We start from the raw sequence: 25,854 nt of genomic DNA, 5'->3' as shown, positions 1-25,854 counted from the left end.
CCTGTAGAGAAGAATCCTTCCCCAACTATTCTAGCTCCGGGTGGTGCTCATCAATCTTTGGTTTACAGCTGCATTACTTCAACCTCTGCCTCTGTCACCTTCATGTGGCTGCCTTCTGTCTGTGTCTCTCTCTCCTCTTCATATAAGGATACCAGTTATATAGGATTAAGGGGCCATCTTACTCCAGTAGGACCTCATCTTGACTCAACATCTTAATTACCTTTGCAAAGATCCTATTTCCAAATAAGGTCACATTCATAGGTACCAAGTACCAAGAGTTAAGACTTCAATATATCTTTTGGGGGGACACAATTCAACCCCAAATGCCTCCCAGGGGGTTTCTAAAGCCATCTCAGACCTCACCTACCCTCTTTCCAGTCAGCAAAAACACCTCCTGTACTGCCTGTGCTTCTGCCTCTGCCCAAGACAAGTTTTGGCAGTCCACTGTTTCTTAAAACTTGAGGAGAGTTAACAAGGACTTTGGGGACACAGATGGGCATTTCTCTTTAAGAGCAACTTCAGCTTTCTAGCAGAAAACCCACAAGCACAGGGGCCATTGTGACCTGTCGTCATTTCAAGCTGCTTAAGTGATCATTTATGGTAGGGAATAAAAATTATCACTGTTTTGAAACAGACACTAAGCTGTCTGCTCTAGGTAATAATACCCCCGGGCCAAGCCATTATTTTTCAGAAGCCCTAATGATCAGGATGGGCACGCTATTGTTTATCAAATTCTTTCCGTGTCACAGACAGTGTCTGAATAAGATGAATACTGTCTTCTTTGTCAGCTACAGTCAGTTTAACCAGTTCTTCTCACCTGCCCTCTACGCTGATCAGCCAATGGAAATCAAGTGCAGGATCAGGAACAATGTGGACACACGCCCTGCTCCTGGCTCCCATGGTCAAAAATGCAGGTGGCAGAGAAGCCAGGTTCAAATCCTGGCTCCATCACTTTCAGCCATGGGACACGTTGTTTAACATTCCCTGAGATTCTAGTTCCTCTGTCCCATGGACATGATAACTACCTCCTGGGGTTATTCTGTAGATGAAACACCATGGATGCGTGTGAAAGACTTAGCACAAGACTTTGCATATAATAAGAACCTAAGTTAACGTTTTATTTTAATTCATAGACATTCATAGACATTTAAAGGGAGAAATGAGATGTGGCCTCAGAGAGCTGGCTCATTTTCCTTTCTGAGACCTGCAGACAAACCATGTCCAGCCCATTTCTACTCTGCAGTTCAGAAACCAAAGCCAAACTTCTCACCTCAAGTGTCAGAGGCTACTGCTCCAGAGAGAAAGAAAAACACAACAAATAATTCCTTAACCTGCTACAGTTTACCAAGCACTTTCATTTCTTTGGAAGGTCACAACCTGAGAGGTAGAGGTAACTGTTACCTCCGTCATGAATCGGAGTACATAGTTAAGTGCTTGTGTGAGGGAAGCAGTGGGACATCATGGTTGCAAGACCACACTCTGGCACTAGAGATCATTTGGGTTCAAAGCCCAACTCCATCTCTGGCTTATTTAACCTCTTACTGACTTGACTTCCTCATCTATAAAATGGGAATGACCCGGCTGGGCATGGAGGCTCACGCCTGTAATCCTAGCAGTTTGGGAGGCCGAGGCAGGTGGATTGCCTGGGCTCAGGAGCTCGCGACCAGCCTGGGCAATACAGTAAAACCCTGTCTCTACCAAAAAAACACAAAAAAATTAGCCAAGCATGGCGGCATGTACCTGTAGTCCCAGCTATTCGGGAGACTGAAGCAGGGGAATTGCTTGAACTTGAGAGGTAGAGGTTGCAGTGAGCCAAGATCATGCCACTGCACTCCAGCCGGGTGACAGGGTGAGACTCTGTCTCAAAAAAAAAAAAAAAAAAAAAAAAGGGAATGACCCTAGTTCCAAGTCTACCTTGTAAAACGGGGATAGTGCCAATCTCATGGAGTTACTTGAGGACATTTTAAATGAGTTAATATGTGTGAAGAGATTGGAACATTGCATGGCTCATAGCAACTGCTATATAAGTGTTTGCTAAATAAATGTTAAAGGAACAAGTACATAGTGAGCTGTCAATAAATACTATTAATGGCTATTACTAGCTATTTCAATGAGCAGCAAACTATAGCCACAGAGCAAATCTGACCCTCTGTGCAAATAAAGTTTTATTGGAATATAGCCATATTTATTCATTTACATATTGTCTAAGGCTATGTTCCTGCTACAATGGCAGAGTTGGATGGGTTTAACAGAGACCCTATAGCCCATAAAACCTAAAATAGTTTCCACGTGACCCTTTAAGAAACAGTTTGCCAACATCTTATCTATCTCTTTGACCAGACCAGGAACTTTCAAGCCAAGGATTATACTTTGTATTTACTCACCATTGCAGTCCTAGCATCTAGCATAGGACCTAGCACTCAGCAGATATTCTAGAAATATTTGTTGACACAGTGAATAAATAACTGAAATCCCATTTTATAGGTCGGGCGCCATCATTCAGCCCTTGCCACATGTCAGATACCAAACCAAGTACTTTGTCCTAAGTTATTTAATCCTCAGATGCAGATTATCATCCCAACCTTAGGAGAAAACTGAAGTTGAGGAGTTAGAAAACTACTCAAAATGACACAACTGACATGTTTGAGCTGAAGCTCAAACCCTGGTTTTCTGACTCAAAATGCTACGTTCCTACTTTACTCCCTATCCAAGCATTTAACAATTTGAAAAAAAAAAAAAAAGAAAAATTCATAAATTTCTCTATGGCTGTGTCCTTCAAGCTACATTCTGCATTCCTTTCACTCCTGTGTTTCTCAATTTAAAAAAATAAATAGAAAACCTAGATCAACAATCCTATAAAATTCTGTCCAATTTGCTCAAAGCTCCAGAATTTAACTGGGCCCATATGTCACCAACCTTTCCAGTTGAAAAGTCACTATATTCCCACCACGAAGTGTCTTTTCAGAATACAAGATGCAAATTGATAAACAACTGGTTTGATCTTTTCTGGACTAGGTTAGGTACTAGTTATCTGACTTACTAGCTGGTATAGTATTCTATAGACTGTATGACAGTTATTGAGTTGGGACAACCTAACAGCATGAATGTTTCACATACCAGCAATCAAATTGGGCATATATTCTGATAAGTAATTTCCATTCTCTTTTATTTTTAGCACATATGTTTAACACAAATCTTGCCTACAGATACATTTGCCACCTGTACTGGACCTATTTTATGCTTCTCTCCAGATTTGCTCATCCTCGCCTCTCCCTCAGATCTTAGCTCCCTGCTCAGTGGAGAACCCTGATTGCCACTGCCTGCACCTCACCCACTAACACTGCCAGTTGTCTCAGCTCCCCACAGATAAAAACAGACAAAATTCCTGAGTCACGCTTACAGAAAAGTCTTCAGGGAGAACCACTTAACCAACATTAAACCATATGTGGCTTGTTATTGCAGCATACTCTAGCCTTAGCCTGACTAAATTTGTTAGCATTTCACCTTGTACCCTGCCAAGAGCTAAAGAATCTCTGACCTGAACTATCTCCACGAGGCCAACAGCAATATGCTGTGTCATGCTGAGTAATCATCCTCTGAGATACTACAGTGGTGGGTGGGAACAGTGACATTGTATCCTAGTAATAAGTAACCTGTCTTGTTTTGTAGCAACCCCACCCCTTAAATTAGGTTGACTTTCTCCAGAAGCAAACCTGAGGCAAGGATTCAAATGAATTCTTTCACCTGAGAAACACCAGTAATAGAGTGGAGAAATAAGATGGGGATGGGAAAGAAGTCAACCAAAGGTACACCATTGAGCAAGTTAGTGCTGAGGACGACTGGAGGTCAAGTTCACTGAAGAGCTCTGGGAGACAGTGTAGACTGTGCCCCAGGCTTATCCCAATCAAGAAGCAGAGGAGATGGGGACACTTATTCACCAAATCTCCACCTGTCATTAGAAGTTTGCTTCCAGAGCATGATCCAGCTCTTCCAACTTGCCCTACACACACAGGTTGAGCAGACACAACCACCATCACCCTCCAGCAGAGAGTGCAGATGTTCACAGGTGTACTATACAGTCAGTGCCAAAAGCATGTGTGCAAAGTACATAGCACATCAGCTATTCCTTCTACGTCCAAATTATGCCACCGCCAAACTCAAACCCATGTTAACCACCCATGAAGTTTCTTTCGTGACTAGTAATGCTCCCCTTCTCCCCAGGCAAGAGGTATTAGGTCTATTTAAAAATCTTCTCAACAGCTCTAATTTTATCACAAATATAGTCACTAGGATGTTGATGGAGCCCCACCTACCATCTAAAGGTCCATTTAGTACCATTCACCTCACTTCCCAGTGTGAGTCATTCTTGGTGGGTGGAACATCCCAGTGTCCTGGCTGCTCATGAAATGCCTCATAACTAATTCCTTCAAGCCCAGAGTTCTTGGCATAATGTGGTCTTCCACGGAGCCAAGACATCCTAGGAAGTAGCTATTCCTTAGAAGCGGCATGTACACAATCAGCAGCACTTCATGTCTGCTTTTGAGAGTTCTCTCTAAGTCTCCATTTCAGTAATAAACTGCCTAATCCTGCCCATTTTCCCCACGGAGAGATGATTACGTCTGTCACCCTTGTTATGGTTGGGGGTGGCTCATTCTCATTAAAATGACCTCATCACTGCTTCTCTTTCATAGGCCACTGCAATTATTTACTGAGTCTCTGTGGGTGGAAAGGTAAACTGGAGATTGCTCTAGCTCTCTTCCCTACTTGTGAGTAAATCTAGGAAGCTTCTGGAGAAGCATAGGAAACTAAGGGTCAAGTTGTAGCTCTCTTCTGGCTTAGCACTGAACTGATATGTTGAATGGGGCAGGGGGGAGGGCTGAAATATCAGCACCCACTTCCGTTTTAATGAGACAACTGAACTCCAGTAACTCTACAAGCTCAGCCCACCAGCTACGGATGTCACAGAAGTGGTTTTTTGTTTTTTTTTTTTTTTTTTTGCCATTGTGGATATTCAAAGTAACATTAAGATGGCTTCCATATTTTTTAACTAGATGATTAAAACAAAAAAAATGATTATTTGAAGGAATAGGGGCATGTCTGATTAAGCCCCAGTGCTGAAAATAACCATCAATTCACTGATGATGAATCAGCCTATTTTGGAGAGTCACATGAATGACAGTACAAAAATGGGCACTGATATACAGTTTCATTTTAGAAAAAAATTGTCTTTTTGTTTTTAAAAAAAAAGGATGGAGTTGTTTCAGGATAAAATTAACTAGAAACTGATAATTTAATTTAATTGTGCCACATACAGAAAGAAAGGGTTTGTGGGGAAGAAGGAAAACAATGAATAAGCTGCTACCAGGCAGAGATGGCAGGGCAAGTTTCCAAGCTACATGAGCTATGTTTCCTTGACAGCTTTGGATTATAAAGAAAACAATTGCCCAGACATAAACTAATATTCAGAAACAGCTGCCAGATAATATGTTGTCTTTCCAATGGTTAGAGTATCTCATGAAAAGCCCTCTTCACAGAGCCACTCTCCTCCAGTGTTGATTTACAGAGCACTATTCCCAGGAAAAGCAGTTAGCTTAATTTACAGTAACCCGGGGCTAACCAAGGAAGTGGAGTCAGCAGAGAGCTGGCAAGAGAGTGAAAGATCAGCTCAGGTATTCGTGCAAATCTTTCTTCATTTATTAACTACCAGACATCAAAGTGACCAGATTCCCAGCTACTTATAAGTGCTTTGTCCCTCTATCAAAATGACATTAGCCATCCAAATCCTAGATGACTGAACGTAGCCCTGTCCATGCTGAAAGCAACTTGAAACATCGCCTAACCAATCCTTTGATTTTTAAGTGAGAAGATGGATGCTCAGATGATCAAGTCACCATCCAAGATCAGCCAATCACTTTGCAGTCAAGAAGAACCAGCACTAGTGCCTTATCTCCAGCCCAGGACTCTTTCCACCACTTCCCACAGGCAAAGAACTCTAGATTTTGTGAGAGTGTTACTAACCACAGACTGGGTGATCTGTGTAAGGCATATTGAGCCACATCTTCAACCATGTCTTTTGGGTACGTTAGGTACATCCAAAAGCTTCTTTAATAACACTCAGATCATCAAGATGCTCTTGGGTACACTGAAGAAGTAACTTATTAAGCAAAGTCCCTGTGAAATAAACATCCATTGATCTTTTTCTCTTCACAGTCATAATATACGATGCGACCAAGGGAGAGTCTGGCCACTCTCCAGGAGAAAATAAGTAGTTTCAGATCTCACCTATTTAAGAACAGAGACAGGGACCAAATGATCTCCAAATACTTCTCCTGGTTCTAAGATCCTTTAAGTTGAATTTATGTATTTCAAGGGTTGAATCATAGTCACACTCCTGTAATATAAACTCATAAAAATTTTACCATCTATCTGTCTAGCTCATCACTGAGTACAAAGCATCCTCACTTATATAAACTCATTATCTTATAATAACCCTGTGTGGCTGGAGAGTTAAGAATAACATGTTTTGAACAATCCTGGGAGGGAGAAAAGCATAAAGATTAAGAAAGTCAAGTCAGAGAGGCTCAGATTTAAGCTTCAGCTCTCTCCCGGCCAGCGACCTGATTAGCTCCTCTAGGCCTTGAGTTTTCATCAGTAGGGTGGGCATCATTACTGCAAGATGTAATAAGAATCGGTGATTAATGACGCACTCTAGGTCCTGAGTCCCACTTCAGAGTTTTTCCTATCTCCATATTGCCTTCTTTTCTTTTATATATATATATTTTTTTTTACCTTCAACTTTTAAATTCAGGGGTACATGTCCAGGATGTGCGGGTTTGTTACACAGGTGTACCATGGTGGTTTGCTGCATAGATCATCCCATGTCCTAGGTATTAAGCCCAGCATCCATTAGCTATCCTTCCTGATGCTCTCCCTCCCTCTCCACCCCAAAAGGCCCTAGTGTGTGTTGTTCCCCGCTGTGTTCATGTGTTCTCATCATTCAGCTCCCACTTGTGAGAACATGCAGTGTTTCGTTTTCTGTTCCTGCATTAATTTGCTGAGGATAACAGCTTCCAGCTCCATTCATGTCCCTGCAAAGGCCATGATTTTGTTCCTTTTTATGGTTGCATAGTATTCCATGCTTTAGTATCTGGGGCCTTGCTGACCCTGCCAGGACTAGCCAATTCTTAGAAAATATGTTTTGCAAATGCAAACCAACCAATCCAGAGCCTATAACCCAACCACCTCCTTTACCACTCCAGCCTACTCTATCCACCTGCCCCGATTTCCCCAGGGTCATATATCACACAACTAGGGGCAGCCCCTCTTCCCCCAGAGCCTGTAGGAATTATTCAGCTAGCCAATCCTGAGGCTCCTTACCCTGCCTCACCCATTTCTTCATGCAGAAACCACAATATAATCCCCTTCTCCCAGTTCCCCCTCTGCCTCCTGACCAATGCTGGTGCTTCCCTGTGTGGCCCTGCATGGTGTGTTGTGCTGTTCCCTTCCCCAGGGGAACTGTAACAAACTATCTTTTTTTTCTTTTAGACAGCATCTCACTCTGTCACCCAGGCTAGAGTGCAGTGGCACGATCTCGGCTCACTGCAACTTTTGCCTCCCGGGTTCAGGCTATTCTCGTGCCTCAGCCTCCCTAGTAGTTGGGATTACAGGTGTGTGCCACCATGTCCAGCCAATTTTTTGTAATTTTTAGTTGAGACGGGGTTTCGCCATGTTGGCCAGACTGGTCTCAAACTCCTGGCCTCATGTGATCCACCAGCCTCGGCCTCCCAAAGTGCTGGGATTATAGGTGTGAGCCACCATGCCCCGCCCAAACTATATCTTTTCAATGACAGTTACCTCCTGATCTGTTGGCCTAACTGTATCTCACATTTTCTATTAATACAGTGTATTTTAAAGCAATCCTACCACATTTTACCCACCCCAATCTCCCAACCCAGCACTAGCACAGGAGAAGTCACATAGCAAGCAGTAAGTGACTGCAATGGTTAATTTTGTATGTCAACTTGGCTGGGCCAAGGTGCCCAGATATTTGGTCAAACATTGTCCTGGATGTTTCTATGAAGGTGTTTTTTGAATAAGAGTCACATGTAAATCCACAGACTTTGAGTAAAGCAGGTTGTCCTCCATGATGTGGGTGGGCCTCGACCATCAGTTGAAGGTTTTAATAGAACAAAGGCTGACCTCCCCCAGAGTCTGAGAAATTCTGCCAGCAGATGACCTTTGAGCTTGAACTGAAATTCTCCCCTGGGTCTTCCACCTGCCAGCCTATCCTGCAGGTTTTGGACTTACACCTCCACAATTTCATGATCCAGTTCCTTAAAAATACACACACACACACACACAAACACACACACTGCTGATTCTGTTGCTCTGGCAAACCCTAACACAGAGACTATGAGATTAAATGCACAAAGTCACATCTGCTATGAACAAGAATGCTTGTAGCAGCACTCTTCATAATAGGCAAAAAACAGAAACAGCCCAAATGGTCATTCACAGTGGTCTGAAAAATTTACAATATACTCATTCAACAGAATGCCAGAGACTGATGAAAAGAAATGAACTACAAGTACAGTCAACAAGGATGACACTCGTAAATACAATATTGAATGAGGCAAAACATATTTGTGGTCACAGTCACCCTGGGAAGAGAAACAGGGGAGGTGAGGACCCAAGGGGACTTCTGTAGTACTCCCAGCAACATTCTCTTTCTTGATCTGGGAGTTGGTTACACATGTGAACCAATCACTGAAACATTTATTGAGCTGTACATAGCAGATCTGTGCCGTTTCCTGTGTTTATGTTATACTTCACTGAAGTTTACAAAGATAGAAAAATAAATAAAACTGACATTTGTTAAAAGTCATTCATTATTCCAATCAGCAGCCTGTTTCTAAGATACAGTGGGCATTCACGTACATGAAACCCGCAATTCAGAAGAGAAAGGTTAAACTTGAAATTACCTATGTCTAAATGTATTATATTTCCTAAATTGAATTTTGAAAAACATGCTACAGCCTCTGTGTCAGATCTCTGGAAACACTGAGAAAATTGGGGCTTGGAGCCTCAGAATCACCCCAGTAGGTATATAAAGTACTCTTTTATTTCCATAAGGGACAGCGTCCCATGGAGAACCTGGCAAAATAATCCTCTCAGCATGCAGGTTTTTTTAGAAAACAGAATTTCCCCACTGTAATTATCTCAAGTGTCTCTGGGCAAGTAGAATAAATTAGACATGCAATCTATACTGACACTTCAAGAACTACAAGTCATTCTCTGAACTTTTAAAAGAGGCAAATAAAAAAAAAAGCTAAAAAAGAACAGACAATAAGAGCAAGTGCACTTGAACTTGGGAGGCACAGGGGAGTAGTTTGTTTGTTAAGAAGTGGACTCACTCAGGGGATGTTGCTGGTTTTGTATGCTGGAGATGCAGCATTCAGATGCTGAATGGGAAAGGGGAACTGGAAGCCCAGGAGATCTGTCAGTGCCGGCAGCTCTTTCATCAGGCCTTGGTGTCTATGGGGCCCGGGTTATGTTTAGCACATAGAACAGCAAATGCTTGGTGCTGGCCATGCCTTCAGGATCAACTCTACACTTCCTGAGCTGGCTGCAGGTCCCTTCCTGCTCCCTCCTTCCTCCCCCTTCAAATGGTCTGTGCTATAGCACCTGCACTTTTGGAAGTTATAGGAATGGACCAAGAATATTTACTCTCTTACCTTTGGTCACCCTGTCCGTTACTTGGAAAATGATAACAATGACATGACAAACTCCTGCTCAACCCTAAAGACCCAACTCTTCCAAAAAGCTTTTCCTAACATTCCCCACCCCAGTCTGTGTCAAGCACCCCAGTACATCCTCTGCTGCCCACCCCTCTCTCTGCCACCCCTCGCCCTTGCCTTCCTCTCCTCTCTCTCTACTCTATTGCCAGAAGGTAGGGTTGGGGAGAGATGGGGCGAAAAGAGGCAGAGATGGATTGGGGACAGAAGGGAGGCACACTCCTACACTGGTATTAAAAATCCTAGGGAAGGACTATGATTGGTCAAGCTTGGCTACATTCCTTGACTTTAGACCAATTAACCACCACTGTGGGTGTGAGATATTATGCCCAGAGTCAGGGTCTCTTGCAGGAAGAAAAGGGAAGAAAGGTGCTGAAATAACACACACAACTATTAATACAAATGTTAAAAAATCTTGGTATTCTTAGTAAATTTCAAGGCTACTCCATAAAGGACAAGCTCCAGGTGGGCCAAATTTACCCATATCCATGTGTCTTGCACAAAACTAAACATTGCTCCTAAACCCCTAAGTCTACAGACTCTAAGCTCACGAGACGAAGATGTATCTGTCTTGTTCACTCCCGTATCCCCAGCACATAGCACAGTGCTTGATGGAGCGGGGGAGCTTACTAAACATCTGAGCAAAGAAATAAATAAATGAATGAATAATTCCTTATGGTAACTTGAGAATTTCTTTTCACTAAAAACAGATCTCTCCCCTCACACACATCCCTATACCTCACCCAGGCAAAGGTACACAGAACTCAATGCCTTGCCTTTTATCAGCCAACCACCACTCCCAGAAATAATACATTCTTGAGGTTACCTACAGCATGCTAAGATACTAGAAGCCTCCTACTGTACCGGCAGCTCCTTCTGATTTTTTCCTGAACCAGTTTCCACAAGAAACTTCAAGTGCCTGAACTAAGAGGCCCCTAAACAAAGGAGCCAGCCCTGGAGTCCACCTGCCACAGCTGGCCTAACTCAGGATGAACGAAGCTCATAACCATGAAAGAATCTCCCCTCTGGTATCTTCCTAACTGCGTATCTGACCCAGGCTCAGGAAGCAGATGAAAGTCAGAACAAGATCATTAGGAACCAAATCTCTACAAATGAGGCTGCTTATGGCAGATTTAAAAAGCAACACAGTGCCCTTGTTCTGGGCATGGTGTCGTTTCTCACATGGCTCCTTTGGAAGTGGCCTCTGATGGTACAGCAGACATCAGAGGGATCACATGAAACCGAACAAAACATTAGCACCAGGCAAGTATGGTTCGTCATGGATCTTTTAAACCCTAGTGTGCAGAGAACAGAGAATTGGCTCCAATCAGCCAGACACACACACACACACACACACACACACGCGCGCACACACACACGCACAATCTTTTTTTAGTTGGATGAAACCATCTTTCAACTCACCTCAGGGCTTTCATAGTCAAAACCCAGGCAAAAACACAACTAAAACCACAACACGTGGGCCAACACCAGTTCTGTTTGACACACTTGCTCAGCCCTTGCCAGTTCTGATCTCAGAATACTCAGAGTTACTGCCACCCCTTGCCTCAGTTTCCACATTATACAATTAACTATACGCTCACCATAAGTCCCAGGAGCTGCAGGACAAACCAAAAAGGACAGCTCAATCAAGCACTTTGTACTCCTCAGCAAAAACACAGTGGGTGAATTCATGGGCTCAGGCAAGTCAGGGAAGGTTGTTGAGCCTCACTCTCCTTGTCTATGAAATAAGAATAATGCCTCCTACTTCTCAGGAGAACACTAAAGATTAAATTTTAAAAACAGGTGAAGACTTCATCCAGGGCAGTGCTTGACCTTCAGCAGCAAAAATATTGGTTCCCTGTGTATCCAAATCAAAATAAAGAAACCCAGAACTTCATATTTTACTGCTGCCTTTTGATGTCAATGCATCCGCATAATGAATGCCCTGAGAAGCAGCACTTCACAAGCTGGAAAGCCAGACCCTCCATACAGACCCTACACATGAGATCCCACCCCCATACCAACCACATAGTTGCTAAAACCAGACCACAGATACCAGGAACCCCATCAGACAAAGAGAAGCCACAGAAGTCATTGATTGATAGGGAGGTTGGAGCAAAGCAATGAAGTATCAGGGGGAAAGCAAGCAAGACAGTTGAAGAAAGAGTCCAGCAGACAAGGAGAATAGGAGGAAAGCGGATGGGATGTAGTGACACAAATTTGTGATAGTCCAGATCCTCCGAAGAGCAGACACCAAGATGGGATTAAGCCGCAAGGATGTGATTCGGGGAGGAGCTATGTGGAAGGAAAGCAGGAAGGGCTGTCTGGCTTCTCAGTCTGAGTGATGGAGAGAGGAAAGAAAGGTTGGATGAAAGCGTCCCAGCCTGCTGTGTGGTCTAAGGGGGGTTCAACATGGTTGGGGACCAGCTGCATGAGAACTAGGTCTTCCAGTCATGTTCTCACTGCCTTCACTTCCATAAATCAGCATTTTGTACCAATATGGAAGAGCTTCTCACTCCAGTGATTACACACTAGCCTGGCCTGAGAGCGTAGGTCAAGCTATGAACAAAATGTCATGTGAGAGAATACACCACACTAGGGTGCCTCGTTAGCAGGGTTAGAGACCCACGATGCTTGTTCCAAATGGAATGGTTAGGGGAGGTTCAATAACACTAGAGAGGACTGGAGAAAAAGGCCAAGGAACCAGGGTTTGCTCCTGTCTTTGTTTAGGTCCCCCAGAGGCAGAGCCTGAGACAAGGGCTTGCTGGCAGTTACTCTGAAAGACAAACCAAGGAAGCGGGGTGTAGGGGTGAGGCAAGGGAGACAGGAGAGGAGAAGCTAATATAAGGGGCACTGCTGAGTTCTCAAGAGGCAATGGGAACTCAATTTCCTACAGGACTTGAGAAAACAAAGAATGCATTCCAGAAATGTCCCCTGGAGGACCAGAGTCTGAAGTATTTATCCACTGCCTCTTCTCCCATTGTTTGAGAGCTGTCCCTTGGGGAGTTAATGCCCCTAATCTTCCAGACTGGGAAGGCCTCCAGTGCTAGAGAAAGCCAGCCCTTGGGGTGAGACATTGCCAGTGGCGAGTAAGTCAGAGCCCGCATGAAACCGTCCGGCACAGCTGCAGGGAAAACCAGGGCCGGGCACAGAGTTGAAATGTGTGCACAGGCGGCACACACATTTGCTACAGCTCCAAAGGTCAATTGCAACTGAGTGACTTTAACCTCAACATCTTGTTTCTGTTCTCATCTTAAACACTCCCCATCACCCCAGGTCCCACCAGTGTAAAGCCCTGCTATCATGTTGCGTATAACACTTTAGTTAGATGCGACCTCCCACTCTGACCCCAAAGCATTTGCTCAATAAAGGAGAACTATTCGATTTCGCTGGAGTCCCCTCAGAGGAGAACTCAAAGTGTGTGTGAGCAGTAGATATAGCAAAGCCAGGCCCTCTTGTCTACAAAGTCCTTTTCCTCCCAATAATTCCCACCCAGAGGGCACACTCACCTTGACAAAGGATGGACTCACAGAAACGATGCATGAAGTGGGACAGGTGTACGAGTCCTGGCTAATACCAGGGGATCTCTTTGCTACTGTAGATAAAGTGGGTTTCTGCTTGACTGAGAAGCTAAGAGCAATCACAAACACGCCTACTTTTGTGTCTCTGTTCTGCGCCTGCAACATTGCGGGTGGATTTCAGACTGGTGAGAAGAGCCCACCTTCACCTGCTGTCAATACCTAATCATTTCAGCCAGCGGCCTGCAAACTGTGGGATCTGAATCACCTGGAGAGCTAATCAAGTTCAGCGAGACCTCTGCTTGTTGAGGTGGGAAAGCACCTGCTTGCCTTTACCAAGTTCCCCAGGAGATTCTGAGGCCCACCAAAGTTCAAGAACCTGATTGAAGCCTGGACCAGAGCTTCTCAAACTTTACTGGGCATGTGATTTGCCTGGGGATCTTGTTAAACTACAGATTGATTCAGCAGTCTGCTGTGGGGCCTGCGAGGCTGCAGTTCTGATGGGCTCCCAGGTGATGCCAATACTGCTGGTCCACAGACCATACTTTAAGTAGCAAGGGCCTGTGATACAGAACATAATGGCCTCAAGATGGCTTCACAGGGGATGTACAGGAGTGGCTTTGCTGGGGACTCTTCTTACCTGGTCTCTTAGGTCCCCACAGAGCATATGCACTAGTGATATTTTAAGTGTAAGTAGAGAAAAAATAATTTTTTCTATGCTGCTGCCTTTTTTTTGGAAAATTTGTAACTTTTTTTAACCCAACATATCCAAATATTGTCATTTCAACACGTAATCAATACAAAAGTTATTCATGGCCAGGCGGGGTGGCTCACACCTGTAATCCCAGCACTTTGGGAGGCTGGGGCAGGAGGATTACATTAGGTCAGGAGTTTGAGGTCAGCCTGGCCAACACAGTGAAACCCTGTCTCTCCTAAAAATACAAAAATTAGCCAGACACAGTGGTGAACACCTGTAATCCTAGCAGCTCAGGAGGCTGAGGTGGGAGAATCACTTGAACCAGACAGGCAGAGGTTGCTGTGAGCCGAGATCGCACTGCTGCACTCCAGCCTGAGCAACAGAACGAGACTCCATCTCAAAAAAAAAAGTTATTCATGAAATATATTTTGTTCAAGCATGACGCACCTCTCGTTCTTGGGCTAAAGCCTGCACTAAAAAGCAGCACTCTCAGCCAAAGAGAGAAAAAGTACCCAAGAGTTCCTGGATGTTTTTCCTATACTCTGGCTTTACAGTGGGTTCCTGGGGAGTCTAGGATGACCAACAATCCCACTTTTCCCAGGGCTGTCCAAGTTTCAGCACTGAAAGGCTTTTATTCCAGGAAACACTTCAGTCCCAAGCAAACCAGAGTAGCTGGTCACCCTTAAAAGTCTGTTCCTGCAAAGATCATTCCCCCAGCCCTAATGAGGATCTTTATCTGTGGGTGGGGAAGCAGGTTCATTCCCGCAAGGGATGGGTGGAATGGGTCCCCTATCAAGATCTAAACATTTCAGTAGAGGATTTGTAGCACCAGAGTCCCCAAGAATTAGCACAGCCTCTCTCCACTCCCATCCTCCCTGGTTCTGATACTGAGTCTGAGCCTCGGCTTATCTCACCGGGTTTCATGGGCATTATAAGAATGTGAAAGTACTTTGAAAACTGTGAGATACTGAGTAAACATGCTACCCATACTTACTGAGCAACTACTATGTGCCAAGTTCTCAGCTAAGGGCTTTACGTTTATTATAAGATTTACTCCTTACAACCACCCTAAAAGGCAGGTACTATGATTGTCCCCATTTTGCAGATATGAAAACTGTAGCTCGGAGAAGTTAAATAACTTGCCTACGATCACACATCTTCAGTCTCTGAAGTGACTTGCACCCAGGTCTCTGACTCTAAAGCCCATGAAAACAACAAGATAAAGTTTGGGAAGAGACATAAATGGCAAGACTAATCTCCACACTGCAAGAAATGTGCTCTAAAAGTGAGGTTCTTGACCAAAAGAAAAACAAAACCAAACAAACCAAAAAACAGCAAAAATTTTCAGCAGAGTTTGAGATAAGAGGATACATTATTGTTTCCAAACAGCTTGGCAACATGGTCCAGCTGAACATCATTGTTTAATTGGTAGACTACCACACCGCCAGACACCACTCAGGTTACAAAAAGAAAAACCTTATCTACAAGGCTGGGAAAATGGATGGCAAACAAGGTTCACCAAAGAAAACTAGCCAATAATGAAGCCTAGAGAAAGGACAGAGAAAGGGCATCCCAGCTAAATGTAAAGCTTCCTGTGTAATGAGTACAAAAAGAGATACGAAATTCATTGTAGGAAATTTACCTTAGCCTCAAGGCAGGTAAGGGACCTGGAAAAAGATATAAAAGAGAGAGAAACAAAATTATTAAAACATGTAAATAATGAAAGCATCCACTAAAGAGGATAGAGTCTGCCTTATGCACAAACCTAAAAATAAATTCCTACCTGGTAGGATTTAAAGGGGTCTTTTAAAGGGGATTTTTTATAAAATATCTCTCTCATCCATATGAAATTCCCTTAATAAGAGACTGTCTAAGGCTGAAGATGCCAATTCTCTAGGGAAGAAGAATGACAGGGATTAAAATTATTTCAAAGTGTTTCAATCAGTGGTCACTAATTCCAAATCTACAGGAGTCATGCAGGTAAAGTAAATGAGTAAAGCAGTAGAATGTGGGGTGACAATAGGGAGTGGTGGGGATTGCAGCTAGCTAAAGGGTCCATGCATCCCCTGAATGGAGAGCAACTACTCAGCTCTACTCATTGTTGCCAGGCAGGAAGGTGGGCCTTGAGTGACCCCATACTTTTTTTTAAAGCCGAAATGTCTAGATGTTCATTTTTGAGTGAAGATCTGTACTAAACTTCTTGACAACAACAACAAAAAAATGTTTTAACACAGTGCACGCTAACACCAGACCAAACAAATACCATCAAACAGTAACTGATGGCTTGTGGACTCCAGTTGGAAAATTCTGATTTAAATTGATCATGCGAGGTCATTTCGTGAGCTTTGAGAGAGAGTTAATGTAAAGGAGTTGGGGGTGCCCATGCAGAAAATGAGTACAGAAAGGGATTGCTGATTGTGCAGAGACACTTCACCATGTTGCAATTTGCTCTTCGGGTGCTTCAAAGAGGATAAGATGGATCTTAAAAGAAAAGATTTGCTGGAGCCTTCATCACTCTATTCTTAGCAGAGTTCTGGCTCTCAGGAAGAGCACTGCGTGTGCGTGTGTGTGTGTGTGTGTGTGTGCGTGTGTGTGTGTGCGCGCGCGCACGCTTGCGTGCCCGCCCACACATGATTTAATACTTATATTTTATTTCAGTTTTAAAAAGTAAAATAAAAATATGGGGTAAAATATGAATATCTTAAGCCACATCTTTTGGAATTCACAGGTAACCCCAATTCAATTTACGGTGCATAGGGCTGAAATTAATTGCAAGTAATTTGTTCATCTAAATCCATTTGTTCACAAGAAAACTATTCCCTGGGGAAGTTTTAGCAGCTTTCTTCCACCTAGGCCAAAGGCAGCAGCCCAGTCTAACTCTTACAACTCAGGTGCTTCCAATCAGACAGCATCTAGAAACTTACACAAGACCTTCTGTACGAGGTGTGTCTGGTGTTTTTGAAACAAGGAGCCACTTCACTGTGGCCTGATGCTCCAGATTATTTGCATGCGCAGCAACAGAATCAAGACTTCTGTGTATACATGTTTTTGTTCAACAACTTCTTTATTCCCACACATGGTTAATGACTGTCGGAGAGCTTGGGCATAGTCTCAGGGGTCACTGACTACTTGCTGAGGCCAGCACAGTGTACACAGAGCTGACAGTGGCTGCCAGCAAAGTGCAATGATGTGCTCCAGGTACCATGTTTTAAGAGACACTTTGACAAACATCAGAAGGAAAGCTGCCTGCATGATGGAGAGATTGGGACCATGGCAAAAGAAGAAGAAACAACAATCATGAGAGACTTGAGCACTGCCTTTAAGACTTGATTTGTCACAAGAGAGGGAATCCAGAAAGCATCATTAAAACCAACGAATGGAGGATAATTTATTCTACGAGCATTTATTTAGTGCCTGCCATGTAACAGGATGGTGCTAGAGGCAAAGAACTCAATGGTAAGCTTTGCAAGAGGTAGGCTAAAATCCAAGAAACAAATTTTGTGTTGAGTAACTTCAATAACCAAAATAACTGTTTTCAAATAGTCTCCCTGCCACGTTTGGTACCTCAAATACTTGAAAATTTCTGAGGAAAGAAGCTGAGATTACCAAAGTGAGGAATAAAAAGGTCAGGAGTTCGAGACCAGCCTAGCCAACATGGTGAACCCCTGTCTCTGCTAAAAATACAAAATTAGCCGGGTGTGGTGGTACACGCCTGTAATCCCAGCTACTCGGGAGGCCGAGGCAGGAGAATTGCTTGAACCCAGGAGGTAGACGTTGCAATGAGCCAAGATCACACTACTACACTCCAGCCTGGGTGACCGAGAGAGACCCTGTCTCTAAAAAAAAAAAAAAAAAAAAAAGAGAGAAATGAAAATGCCAACTTGTTTCTGCCTTAGGACCTTTGCACATACTGTTCCCTCTATCTGGAGTACGCTTGCCCTGATCTTCAGGTGGATGGAGCCCTCTAATCATCCACTCAATCATATTACCCTGCTTAATTTTGTTTGTGCTACTCATCAGAGATGCAATACTACTTTATGTATGTATCAGTTATGTGTGTTAATTTCTTCCTTCACATATGAGTTCCTGGGAGCAGAGACCTTATTTGGCCTTGTTCACCACCACATCTGGGGGCCAAAGTATTCAGCACATGGGAGGCACCTGAACTCCTGTTGATTGTTGAACAAACATAATACTGAAAAACTGTGTAATAAATTGTTAATAGTGGAAAAAAAAACTTCATTGAGATTTTTTGTGTGTATGTACGACCTGCAATCAATGTACAAAACCAGACTTGGTTGAAGACAGAGCTAATTTTCTTGGTGTTGATACATCTCCACTTGAAAGGTGAACAGACCACAGAAGCTACATTGAAATCTCCCGTTGCTGAGATGAGTTCTCACGCTCTACTTACAGACTGGATTCTATAGATTTCAATTACCAAAAGTGTCACCACAAGTAATAGTCACTTAAATTCCTTGGCTTTGTAGAAGTTGAAACCCAAGTCAGGTAAACCAGAAACATCTTCACTGATCTGGTTATGTTTTGAACCATTTCCATAGAAACTGGAAGAGTTCCCAGCAGAGGCTTTCTAACTTCCAGCAATTATCTTAAGGTCTCATTAGCATTTTAAATGTCACCTGTATAAATTAAAACTGTTTACAGCTCACAATGTCATTATTTTGTGATTCACAGTTTCACCCTAGCTAGCCAAAACCTGCTTCTTGGAAAATCCCATTCAAAATGTTCTCTCTGCTGGATTAGGCCTGGCACAATCTCCCTCTTGGTTCAAAAATCTGGCTTCCCTTTTTATTCTTCACTTTGGTAATCTCAGCTTCTTTCCTCAGAACATTTCAAGTATTTGAGGTATCAAACTTGGCAGGGAAACTATTTGAAAACAGTTATTTTGGTTATTTAAGTTACTCAACACAATCTACAGCTGGCTTAAAGAAAACAAATGGAGATTTCTGTATATAGTTGTACATCAGTCAAGCATCACTCATCATCATCTATCTTGTTGGTCTATGAGTTACTTTCCTAGATATTGGAGGATGGGATAATGATTTTTGGAGGTCACCTCTACTCCTGGTCATCTTTCACCAAAAACAATACAGTCAGGTGCTGCAAAACAACATTATAGTGAACAATGGACTGCATGTATGACAGTGGTCTCATAAGATTATGATACCCTGTTTTTACTTTACAGTTTCCCTGGTTGGCTATATTTAGAGACACACATACTTAACCATTGTGTTACCATGGCCTACAGTATTCAGTACAACAGCATGCCATACAGGTTTGCAGCCTAGGAGCAATAGGCTATACCAGCTAGCCTAGATGTGTAATAGGCTGCACGACTGGGTTTTTGTAAGTACATTTCATGATGTTCACACAGTGACAAAATTGCCTAATGACACATTTCTTGGCACATATCCCCACCATTAAGTGATGCATGCTTATATTTAAAAACAACTTCTTTTTACACATACTTTATGCCACCTGCATTTGACTGATTTACCTTGTTTTGCTCCAGAATTATAGCGTACAGAGGCATTTTATGCTTCTGCAGTCAAAGGCAGCTGGGTGTAAAAGAAAACGCCTAGGCTATGAAGTCATTTGAGTAGCAATTTCCATCTTTGCTCCTCTACTTACAGCTCTGGGACCTGAAGCAAGTCCCTGCACCTCTATTTGCCTCAGCTGTCTCATGCCCATTGTCTCATAGGGAATCATCAGGGAACAAAGTAGAGACCCTGCCCTCAGTCCGGCTGGAGCTCAGACCTACATAGGAGACACTTGAGGGTCAGCTACAAATATGCCACCCAGCAGCCACAGTGATCTTTCTAAACTTCCCGTCAGATTGTGCCATTCCCTGTTCATAACCCTCTAAAGCAGAGGTCGGCAAACCTTTTCTAAAAGGGCAGGATCGCAAATATTTTTGGTATTGTGGGCCAAAACTCCATCACAACTACTCAAGTCCACCCTTGTAGCATGCAAGTAGCCCTCGACAGCTGGAAACAAATGTTTGGAAACAAATGGGCTTGGCTGTGTTCCTGTAAGACAGCCCACCTCCCCAGCCCCATCTCTCACCCATCCGCCCCTCCTCCAACATGCTTCAGCCACATAGGCCCTTGCTTTCAGTTTCTGGAATATTCCAACCTTGCTCTCTCTCACCCTGTGGATTTTGCCCTAGCCATTCCTCTTGCGTGGGCAGTTCTGCTTCCAGATCAGCACCTGCCCGGCTCCCTCTTGACAACCATCTCTCAGCTTAACATCATCAACTCAGGGGTTTCTATGACTGCCAACCAGCCAGCCACAGTGAAACAGACCTCCCTGCTTTATTTTCTCACAGTATTTATCACCCTCTTATAAGTAGTACTAAGGAGTCAGTTCCCACAATAACAGTTTTGGATGCAGACTGCTGATATTTTCTCAGTCTTATGTAAACTTGAGCAAACTTAGTTTTTTTTTAAATTGTGGTAAAGTTCACATAACATAAAACTTGCCACCTTAACCATTTGTAAGCGTACAGTTCAGTGGCATTAAGCATATTCATATTGTTGTGCAACCAGCACTACTATTCACCTCCAGAGCTCTTCATCTTGCAGAACTGAAACTCTGTGCCTGTAAAGCAATAACTCTCATTCCTCCCTCTCCACCTGCAGGCCCTGGCAACATCTTATCAATTTTTAACATTAACTCTCACCATGCAAAATCAGATTTTAAAAGTCAATTTCTTCTAACCAACTTTCCTACCAGATTTCCACCCCTGAGCCCATTTGATGTAGAGATTCTGGAACCACCGCTGATATTGGATATTTTATCTAATTTTTATCTTTTTTCTCTGTGTAATGTAAGCTCCCTGCAAACAGGAACCTTTTTTCCTACCTGAACAGCAAACATCTGGCACAGGCTAACACAGAGTGGGTGCTCCACAAATATTAAGTTAGTAAACAAATAAGTGAATAAATGACTGTGTTCTTAGTTGGGTTAGACTTTGAGCTACCTCCCAGCAGCTTTGGATAAGTAAAGATGAAAAAGAATTTCAGCTCATGGCAACAGCAGAAAGCAGGAATTCCTTGAAAGCCTGGGTAGTGTCTAAATTGTATCAGCAGCTCCAAGTACTATCAATAGCAGATAAAGAAAGAAAGGAAGTAAAGAGGAGAAGAAGGGGGCAGGCAGGTAGGAATTCAGGTAGAAGGGAGAATGAGAATGTAATTTCCACAGAGAATATGCAACTGGGAGTCCTGGACAGAAAGGACTAAGGAATTAGGTAGTTAGATGGTTAAAGATCCAGTACTGTAGGTCATGTGAACCTCCTGGTTCCTGACCAGGGAATGTAATGATGCCAGCAGGTGTATAAGGAAAATGATGTGTTGCACCGCTTGCAAAAACTTTATTTCAAAACGTCAGCAACACTGGAGTCAAATGTTAACATTTCCATGGCAGAAGCCTCATCATAACCAATCTTCACAAATAGTGGAGGTGGTATGGTTTGGCTCTGTGTCTCCACCCAAATCTCATCTCAAACTGTAATTCCCACGTGTCGAGGGAGGGACCTGGAGGGAGGCGATTGGATCACTGGGGCAGCTTCCCCCATGCTGTTCCCGTGATGGTGAGGGAATTCTCAGGAGATCTGACGGTTTATAAGTGTTTGGCAGTTCCTCCTTCCCACTCTCTCTGTCCGGCCGTCTTGTAAAGAAGGTGCCTGCGGCCGGGAGCGGTGGCTCACGCTTGTGATCCCAGCACTTAGGGAGGCCGGGGTGGGCGGATCACGAGGTCAGGAGATCGAGACCACCCTGGCTAACACGGTGAAATCCCATCTCTACTAAAAATACAAAAAATTAGCTGGGCGTGGCGGTGTGCGCCTGTAGTCCCAGCTACTCGGAAGGTTGAGGCAGGAGAATGGCGGGAACCCGGGAGGCGGAGCTTGGAGTGAGCCGAGATCGCGCCACCGCACTCCAGCCTGGGCGACAGAGCGAGACTCCGTCAAAAAAAAAAAAAAGAAGGTGCCTGCTTCCCCTTCAAGTTTCTCCATGATTGTAAGTTTCCTGAGGCCTCCCCAGCTATGTGGAACTGTAAGTCAATTAAACCTCTCTCCTTTATACATTACCCAGTCTCAGGAAGTTTTGTCTCAGGAAGTTCTTTACAGCAATGTGAAAATGGACTGATACAGGAGGGGAACAAAAAGTACCTGCACCAGGATATCCAGTGTGACTGACCTTTCCTACCCAAGACGAAGCAATAGAAAGAATGTCCCATGGAGCCGGCTTCTGGTTCAGTCCTCTTGTGATCTCTACTCTTGTCTCCAGCCAATGTCTCTGTGACCCTTGGCTCTGACCAGGTAGAGGAGATACTGAGCAACAGTGGGTGGGGATCGGGGGGAGACTGTATATGTTCCTGCCCAGGAGTGATCATTCATGAAGGATGTGACTCACCAACCAGCTTTGATCGTGATTTTGTGCATCAGGTCCCCAGAAATCCTGACTCATTCACTGAGCCATAAGGAGATTGTTTTAAAGCAGTTGAAGTCTCACAGCAAGTTTATACAAACAGAAGTGGGTTAGGCGTGGGACTCGCTGATGTAAATTGGACTTACTCATTGATTCACATAGTCTTCTCTCATAATGGATCCTATATGTAATTTTACCCAGAAGTGTTTGTTGTTCCTGCTGAGGTTAATAAACCTTCGTTGAAAACTTACTGTGTGTAGCTGATCCTGTTAGGCGATTGGGTTGGATAACTATACAGAGATGCTCTAAGTTATTGAGGAATTCGCAATCCAGTGGGGCAAAGTCAACTCAGTTCAGCCAGGATTTATTAGAAAGATGGTATTGGAAAGGAATGTGGAAACGAACTAGTCCCATCTACTCATTTTGCAAATTAGAAATTGATTGGCTGAGGTTAAATGAAGGAAACTCACATATAATTAGATGAGCTGACTCCCAGGGAAAGGGGTCTTTGAAGCCTGATTGTCATTGAGCTATATACTAGGGAAGGAGGGGTGGGGTGAAACAAAGGCCCCTGCTGTCACTGAGCCTGAAGAACTTTTAAAGAGACGACACTGACTTTTTAATGATCCCCATTCTAACTGGTGTGAGATGGTATCTCATTGTGGTTTTGATTTGCATTTCTCTGATGGCCAGTGATGATGAGCATTTTTTCATGTGTCTGTTGGCTGCATAAATGACTTCTTTTGAGAAGTGTCTGTTCATATCCTTCGCCCACTTGCTGATGGGGTTGTTTGTTTTTTTCTTGTAAATTTGTTTGAGTTCATTGTAGATTCTGGATATTAGCCCTTTGTCAGATGAGTAGATTGCAAACATTTTCTCCCATTCTCTAGGTTGCCTGTTCACTCTGATGGTAGTTTCTTTTGCTGTGCAGAAGCTCTTTAGTTTAATTAGATCCCATTTGTCAATTTTGGCTTTTGTTGCCATTGCTTTTGGTGTTTTAGACATGAAGTCCTTGCCCATGCCTATGTCCTGAATGGTATTGCCTAGGTTTTCTTCTAGGGTTTTTATGGTTATAGGTCTAACATTTAAGTCTTTAATCCATCTTGAATTAATTTTTGTATGAGGTGTAAGGAAGGGATCCAGTTTCAGCTTTCTACATATGGCTAGCCAGTTTTCCCAGCACCATTTATTAAATAGGGAATCCTTTCCCCATTTCTTGTTTTTGTCAGGTTTGTCAAAGATCAGATGGTTGTAGATGTGTGGTATTATTTCTGAGGGCTCTGTTCTGTTCCGTTGGTCTATATCTCTGTTTTGGTACCAGTACCATGTTGTTTTGGTTACTGTAGCCTTGTAGTATAGTTTGAAGTCAGGTAGCATGATGCCTCCAGCTTTGTTCTTTTGGCTTAGGATTGTCATGGCAATGTGGGCTCTTTTTTAGTTCCATATGAACTTTAAAGTAGTTTTTTCCAATTCTGTGAAGAAAGTAATTGGTAGCTTGATGGGGCTAGCATTGAATCTATAAATTACCTTGGGCAGTATGGCCATTTTCACCATATTGATTCTTCCTATCCATGAGCATGGAATGTTCTTCCATTTGTTTGTGTCCTCTTTTATTTCATTGAGCAGTGGTTTGTAGTTCTCCTTGAAGAGATCCTTCATGTCCCTTATAAGTTGGATTCCTAGGTATTGTATTCTCTTTGAAGCAATTGTGAATGGGAGTTCACTCATAATTTGGCTCTCTGTTTGTCTGTTATTGGTGTATAGAAAAGCTTGTGATTTTTGCACATTGATTTTGTATCCTGAGACTTTGCTAAAGTTGCTTATCAGCTTAAGGAGAGTTGGAGCTGAGATGATGGGGTTTTCTAAATATACAATTACATCATCTGCAAACAGAGACAATTTGACTTCCTCTTTTCCTAATTGAATACCCTCTATTTCTTTCTCCTGCCTGATTGCCCTGGCCAGAACTTCCAACACTACGTTGAATAGGAGTGGTGAGAGAGGGCATCCCTGTCTTGTGCCAGTTTTCAAAGGGAATGCTTCCAGTTTTTGCCCATTCAGTATAATATTGGCTGTGGGTTTGTCATAAATAGCTCTTCTTATTTAGAGATATCCCATCAATACGAAATTTATTGAGAGTTTTTAGCATGAAGTGCTGTTGAATTTTGTCAAAGGACTTTTCTGCCTCTATTGAGATAATCATGTGGTTTTTGTCTTTGGTTCTGTTTATATGCTGGATTACATTTATTGATTTGCATATGTTGAACCAGTCTTGCATCCCAGGGATGAAGCCCACTTGATCATGGTGGATAAGCTTTTTGATGTGCTGCTGGATTCGGTTGCCAGTATTTTATTGAGGATTTTTGCATTGATGTTCTTCAGGGATATTGATCTAAATTTTAAAAAGTCGGGAAACAACAGGTGCTGGACAGGATGTGGAGAAATAGGAACGCTTTTACACTGTTGGTGGGACTGTAAACTAGTTCAACCATTCTGGAAGACAGTGTGGCGATTCCTCAAGGATCTAGAACTAGAAATACCATTTGACCCAGCCATCCCATTACTGGGTATATACCCAAAGGATTATAAATCATGCTGCTACAAAGACACATGCACACGTATGTTTATTGCAGCACTATTCACAATAGCAAAGACTTGGAACCAACCCAAATGTCCATCAATGATAGACTGGATTAAGAAAATGTGGCACATATACACCATGGAATACTATGCAGCCATGAAAAACGATGAGTTCATGTCCTTTTCAGGGACATGGATGTAGCTGGAAACCATCATTCTGAGCAAACTAATGCAAGGACAGAAAACCAAACACCACATGTTCTCACTCATAGGTGGGAACTGAAGAATGAGAACACTTGGACACAGGAAGGGGAACATCACACACCAAGGCCTGTCCTGGGGTGGGGGGAGGGGGGAGGGATAGCATTAGGAGATATACCTAATGTAAATGATGAGTTAATGGGTGCAGCACACCAACATGGCACATGTATACATATGTAACAAACCTGCACGTTGTGCACATGCACCCTAGAACTTAAAGTATAATTTAAAAAAAAAAAAGAGACAGTACTGATGCAACAGAGTGTTAACAAATGAGCTAGGTGGGTGATGCTGGCAGAGTTCAGAGGAGAGGGCAGGAATGGTCGGGATGGAGCTTTTGGAGGAGATGATGCTTGTGCTGGGCCTTGGAAGAAAGGGAGGATCTGAGAAAAATGAAGCACAACAGCAGAGACAGCAGGGGTGACGCTGTAGAGTCTGAAACAGGCAGGACAAAAGCAAACAGCAGAGCTCAAGCACACTCACCTGCAGAACAGCATTGTAAATGGGCACCAAAAGTCTCACCTTTGAGCAATCCTGGACCTCTCTATGTACTG

At 43.3% G+C, this 25,854-nt stretch overlaps 1 pseudogene, besides 4 other annotated features; it reads right to left on the bottom strand.

The window, feature by feature from the left end:
* The window catches only part of LOC124906205 (UPF0764 protein C16orf89-like), a 79,830-nt pseudogene that overhangs the window by 33,300 nt on the left and 20,676 nt on the right, over positions 1-25,854 (bottom strand).
* Positions 3,078-4,277: an enhancer, noted in NCBI's record as "MED14-independent group 3 enhancer chr3:5390480-5391679 (GRCh37/hg19 assembly coordinates)". NCBI's record gives its function as "activates an origin of replication core promoter dependent on BRD2, BRD4, P300/CBP and CDK7 cofactors, and independent of MED14, by STARR-seq in HCT116 cells {active_cell/tissue: HCT116}" and the evidence as "EXISTENCE:reporter gene assay evidence [ECO:0000049][PMID:35650434]".
* Positions 3,513-3,657: an enhancer, noted in NCBI's record as "145 bp enhancer 18 fragment used in the MPRA reporter construct; PK_construct_3751". NCBI's record gives its function as "activates an SV40 promoter by MPRA in HepG2 and K562 cells {active_cell/tissue: HepG2 | K562}" and the evidence as "EXISTENCE:reporter gene assay evidence [ECO:0000049][PMID:23512712]".
* Positions 3,580-3,590: a transcriptional cis regulatory region, noted in NCBI's record as "NFE2L2 motif; enhancer activity is reduced when this motif is scrambled". NCBI's record gives its function as "necessary for full MPRA enhancer 18 activity {active_cell/tissue: HepG2 | K562}" and the evidence as "EXISTENCE:site-directed mutagenesis evidence [ECO:0005528][PMID:23512712]".
* Positions 21,697-22,896: an enhancer, noted in NCBI's record as "P300/CBP strongly-dependent group 1 enhancer chr3:5371861-5373060 (GRCh37/hg19 assembly coordinates)". NCBI's record gives its function as "activates an origin of replication core promoter dependent on BRD2, BRD4, P300/CBP, MED14 and CDK7 cofactors, with strong dependence on P300/CBP, by STARR-seq in HCT116 cells {active_cell/tissue: HCT116}" and the evidence as "EXISTENCE:reporter gene assay evidence [ECO:0000049][PMID:35650434]".

This window comes from Homo sapiens, chromosome 3, assembly GCF_000001405.40.
Source record: "Homo sapiens chromosome 3, GRCh38.p14 Primary Assembly".
NCBI classification, from domain to species: domain Eukaryota; kingdom Metazoa; phylum Chordata; class Mammalia; order Primates; family Hominidae; genus Homo; species Homo sapiens.
This window is presented reverse-complemented; position numbering and strand designations above follow the sequence as displayed.